Source organism: Homo sapiens, chromosome 4 (genome assembly GCF_000001405.40).
Source record: "Homo sapiens chromosome 4, GRCh38.p14 Primary Assembly".
In the NCBI taxonomy this organism is placed as follows: Eukaryota; Metazoa; Chordata; class Mammalia; order Primates; family Hominidae; genus Homo; species Homo sapiens.
Genome location: NC_000004.12, coordinates 98,704,026 through 98,710,025, shown reverse-complemented (window position 1 = coordinate 98,710,025; position 6,000 = coordinate 98,704,026).

The following is a 6,000-nucleotide window of genomic DNA, read 5'->3' as shown; positions in this document are numbered from 1 at the left end:
GAAAGTAAAAAAAAAAGTATGAACAAAATAAAAGTATCAATAAAGAGAAGAAATCTAAAAGGAAACCAAAAAGAAATTCTGGAGCTGAAAAGTACAATAAGTGAAGTGAAAAATTTACTAGTATGATTTGAAGGCAGATTTGAGTAGGCAGAGGAAAGAATCAGAAAACTTGAAGATAGAACAGTTAAAATTATTAAGTCTGAGGGACAGAAAGAAACAAGATTTTGAAAAAAGTGAACAGAGCCTACAGGGCCTGTGGGATACTATCACGCAGACAACCATATGCATTTTAGAAGTCCCAGAAGGAGAAGGAAGAGAGAATATTTGATAAAATAATGGCTGAAAATTTCCAAATTTGATTAAAGACATAAATATAAATATCCGAGGAGATAAACAAACTCTAAGTAAGATAAACTCAAAGAGACCCACACTGAGACACACTATAATCCAACTTTTGAAAGACAAACACAGAAAATCTGAAGGCAGCAAGAAAGAAGTGATTCATCACATATGGGAGATCCTCAATAAAATTATCTGCAGACTTCAGAGACTTTGGAGGCTAGAAGGCAGTGGGCTGATATATCAAAACTACTAAAAGAAAAGAAAAAAACTTGTTAACCAAGAATTCTATTTTGAGCACAACTAAGCTGAAGAAGTTTATTGCCACTGGACCAGACCTGAAAGAAATGTTCAAGAGACTCCTGCAGGGTGAAATGAAAGAACACTAAACAATAACTTGAAGCCATATGAAGAAAGGAAGATCTCAATAAAGGTGAATAAATGAGTGATTTAAAAAGCTACTATTATTGTGACAAAGATTTATAACTCCACTTTTTGTTTTCTACACGATTTAAGAGTCTAATGTATATATATTTAAAAGTATTAGCCCTGGCCGGGGATGGCGGCTCATGCCTGTAATCCTAGCACTTTGGAAGGCCGAGGCAGGCAGATCATCTGAGGTCGGGAGTTTAAGACGAGACTGACCAACATGGAGAAACCCCATCTCTACTAAAAATACAAAATTAGCTGGGTGTGGTGGCGCATGCCTGTAATCCCAGCTACTTGGGAGGCTGAGGCAGGAGAATCACTTGAACCCGGGAGGCAGAGGTTGTGGTAAGCCGTGATCGTGCCATTGCACTCCAGCCTGGGCAACAAGAGCGAAACTCCATCTAAAAAAAAAAAAAAGTATTAGTCTAAAAGCTAGTATTATTGTAACTTTGGTTGCAACTCCACGTTTTGTTTTCTACATAATTTAAGAGACTAATGCACTTAAAAGAATTATTTATTTGGAAGGCATACAATGTATAAAGGTATAATTTTGTGACATCAGTAAGAAACAGGTGGGGACAAAGATATAAAAGAGCAGAGTTTTGTATATTATTGAAGTTAAGCTGGTATAAATTCAGATTAGAATCCTAGAATTTTAGGCTATTAAATGTGATCCCTATAGTAACCATAAAACATAGGTATAGAATAGAATATGTGCAAAAGTAAATAAGAAATAAATGTCTACATTTTACTATTAAAAAATCAAACACAAAAGATGACAGTACTGCAGGAAATGAAGGACAAAAAAACTATAAGGCATATAAAAAACAAATATCAAAATGCTATAAGTCCTTCTTTATCAATAATTACTTAAATATAGATGGATTAAATGATCCAGTCGAAAGACAAAGATTGGCAGAATGGATAAAAATGCATGATCCAAATATGCGCTGTTTATAAGAGATTCACTTTAAATCCAAAGATAGAAATAGGTTTAACATAAAAGGACGGAAAAAGATATTCCATGAAAATAGTAACCAAAAGGTGGCTTTACTAATATCAGAAAAAATAGACTTTATATCAAAGAAGGTTATAAGAACAAAGAAGGACATTATACGTTAATAAATGGTTTGATACAGCAGGAAGATAATTATAGACATTTACATACTTAATAACAGACCATCAAATATAGGAAGCAAAAACTGACAGAATTGAAGGGAGAAATAGACAGAATAACTCAATGATATAGGTGCAATTATTCACATTTCAGAAATAGGAAAACTGTGGCTTAGAAAGAAAGACAAAGTCATTTGCCCAAAGTTGTGCAGCTAGTAAATGATGAAGCCAGGGTTTGGATTCAAGAATTTTGATTCTTGAATGTAGACTTAATTACTTAATTACTATAGTGTATCTCTTCCTTGAAAGAAAAAAAAAGTACAATTTTTGCTTTATTCCCCTAAAGTTTCAGTATTTTGTGCTCAAAAGTCTTGTCACCTCGATTTTTTTAAGAACCATCTTGTGGACTTCTATGAGCCTGAAAAGTTGTCTCAAAGTCCTTTAATTATGAAAAATCCATGTTTGAGGATGCAATTCTGTGACTCTCTTCAACAAGGTTCTTTGACTTAGCTATCTTGTTTTATTTAACTAAACATCTCCAATGTAATACTCTGCTTCAGCTTCTCCTAAATGTCCCATAAACTGTGATAATCATTAGGGCAGAAGCAGGAAGAAAACTCATGATCTTAAGATTATTTTCTTTGTAACATGTGATGAATCAGACTTGCAAAGTTCAAAGCACAAAAACTCCTAATGAATGCTAATTCTGTGGAAGATGTGCATATCACTCTCTTTCAAAAACAAAACTTTTTTTAGGTGTTCTGTTTGTGGCAGATTTTCCAAGTTTAGACTTGTATTCTCATTCTTCATCACTATGTGGATAGAACCCAATTATTAGGTCATAAATACAGTGAGAATCTAATATCTATCAATGACATGCAACAAGTCATTTAATTCTTTGTGTCTAGGATGGTTAATTTCAGGTGTCAATTTGACTGGATTCAGGGACATGCAGATAACTTCTGATGAAGCATTGTTTCTAGATATGTCTGTGAGGGTGTTCCAGAAGAGACTGGCATTTGAATAACTGGACTAGGAAGATCCCTCCTCACCCAGTGCAGGCCCATACCATCCAGTTGACTGAGGGCCTGACAGAACAAAAAGGCAGAAGAAAGGCAAATTTGCTCACTCTCTCTTCTGGAACTGGGACACCCATCTTCTCCTGCCCTTGGACATCAGAACTCCCGGGCCTTTGGACTCCAGGACTTGCACCAGATACTCCCCAATTTTCAAGCTGTCAGCTTAGGACTGAGAGTTACACCGTTGGCTCCCCTGGTCCTCAGGCCCTTGGATTTGGACTGAGCCATGCTACCATCTTCCCTTGTTCTTCAGCTTGCAGACAGGATATTGTGGGACTTCTCAGCCTCCATAATCAAGTGAACCAATTCCCGAAGTAAATCCCTTCTGATATATCTATATCTCTGTCTATCTATCTGTTTATCTATCTCGCTCTCTCTCTATCTATATTCTATTGGCTCTATTTCTTTAGAGAACTATGACTAATACAGGTTCTGAGTGCTTTCACTTTTAAAATGAAGTTTGGTATAAGGCCACCTTCAAACCTATTCTCTACCCTTTCCCTTCTACTCAATGTTCTGGGGTCCTATGGACTACATCAACAGGTTTTCTTGCCCTCTGACTTCCAGTCGGGTTCATCCAATGGGAGGCATCAGCAACAGAAGACCAGAAGAAGGTACACTTACTTGACCAGATACCTCCTTGTTAGCAGTAAATGCACAGCAACATTTCTCTACCAAAGATCGCTGCATCTTGTACAACCACAGCTCTTCAAGTTCCAATGACCACTTCCTCCCCTTCCCCTCAAACAGTAGTAGTGGCTTCCTGCCTATCTTAACCTTATCTTCACCCTGACTGATACAGAAGATATGAGTTTAAGTAAACTCTAGAGTTTACCTTTTTGATATGTCCTAGAAAGGTATTCTCTGCTGGGAGATCACATTATTATAATGCTTAGCCAATAAATGATACTCTGAGAAGAGCCAGTATGTATAAATGAGAGGACACCAGACTGGGAGGCAGGAGATCAACAGGGCTACTAAGTAGTTAGATAACTTTCTTCCTGATATGGTTTGGCTGTGTCCGCACCCAAATCTCATCTTGAATTATAGTTCCCATAATCCCCAGGTGTCATGAGAAGGACCTGGTACGTAATTGAATCATGGGTGTATTAGTCCATTTTCACACTGCTGATAAAGACATACCTGAGACTGGGCAATTTACAAAAGAAAGAGGTTTAATTGGACTTACAGTTCCACATGGCTGGAGAAGCCTCACAATCATGGTGGAAGGCAAGGAGGAGCAAGTCACATCTTACATGGATGGGCAGCAGGCAAAGACAGAATGAGGATGACGCAAAAGCAGAAACCCCTTATAAAGCCATCAGCTCTCATGTGACTTATTCACTACCACAAGAACAGTGTGGGTGAAACTTCTGCCATGATTAAATTATCTCCAACTGGGTCCCTCTCACAACACATCGAAATTATGGGAGTATAATTCAAGATGAGATTTGGGTGGGGACACACAGCCAAAACATATCATTCCACCCCTTACCCCTCTCAAATCTCATGTCCTTACATTTCAAAACCAATCATGGCCTCCCAATAGTCCCCCAAAGTCTTAACTTATTTCAGCATTAACTCAAAAGGCCACAGTCCAACATCTTATCTGAGACAAGGCAAGTCTCTTCTGCCTATGAGTCTGTAAAATCGAAAGTAAGGTAGTTATTTCCTAGATACAATGGAGATACAGACATTGGGTAAATACAACAGTTCCAAATGGGAGAAATTGGCCAAAACAAAGGGGTTACAGGGCCCATGCAAGTCCAAAATTCAATAGGACAATCAAATTTTAAAGCTCCAAAATGATCTCCTTTGACTCCAGGTCTTACATCCAGGTCATGTTGATGCAAGAGGTGGTTTCCCATGGTCTTGGGCAGCTCCATCCTTGTGTTTTCAGGGTACAGCCTCCCTACCCAAGCTGCTTTCATGGGCTGGAATTGAGTGTCTGCAGCTTTCCCAGGGACATGGTGCAGCTGTAGGTGGATCTACCATTCTGGGGTCTGGAAGATGGTGGTCCTCTTCTCACAGCTCCACTAGGTGGTGCCCCTGCAGGGACTCTGTGTGGGAGCTCCAACCCCACATTTCCCTTCTGCACTGCCCTAGCAGAGGTTCTCCAGGAGAGCCCCATCCCTGCGGTAAACTTCTGCCTGGACATCCAGGCATTTCCATACATCCTCTGAAATCTAGGTGGAGGTTCCCAAACCTCAATTATTGACTTCTGTGCACCCACAGGCTCAACACCATGCGGAAGCTGACAACGCTTGTGGCTTGCACCCTCTGAAGCCATGGTCCAAGCTCTACATTGGCCCCTTTCAGCCATGGCTAGAGTGGCTAGGACACAGGGAACCAAGTGTCTAGACTGCATACAGCCCAGGAATCCTGGGCCCTGCCCACAAAACCATTTTTTCCTTCTATACCTCTGGGTCTGTGATGGGAGAGACTGCCACAAAAGTCTCTGACATGCCCTGGAGACATTTTCCCCATTGTCTCGGTGATTAACATTTGGCTCCTCATTACTTATGCAAATATCTGCAGGCAGCTTGAATTTTTCCTCATAAAATGGGATTTTCTTTTCTATCACATTGTCAGGCTGCAAATTTTCCAAACTTTTATACTCTGCTTCCCTTTTAAAACTGAATGCCTTTAACAGTACCCAAGTCACCTCTTGAATGCTTTGCTGCTTAGAAATGTCTTCTGCCAAATACCCTAAATCATGTCTCTCAAGTTTAAAGTTTCACAAATCTCTAGGGCAGGGGCAAAATACCACCAGTCTTTTTGCTAAAATGTAAGTAAACAAGAGTCACCTTTGCTCCAGTTCCCAACAAGTTCCTCATCTCCATTTGAGACCACCTCAGCCTGGATTTCATTGTCCATATCATCAGTATTTTTTGTCAAAGCCATTAAATAAGTCTCTGGGAAGTTCCAAACTTTCCCACATTTTCCTGTCTTCTTCCGAGCCCTCCAAAATGTTCTGACCTCTGCCTGTTACCCAGTGCCAAAATTGCTTCCACATTTTTGGGTATCTTTTCAGCAA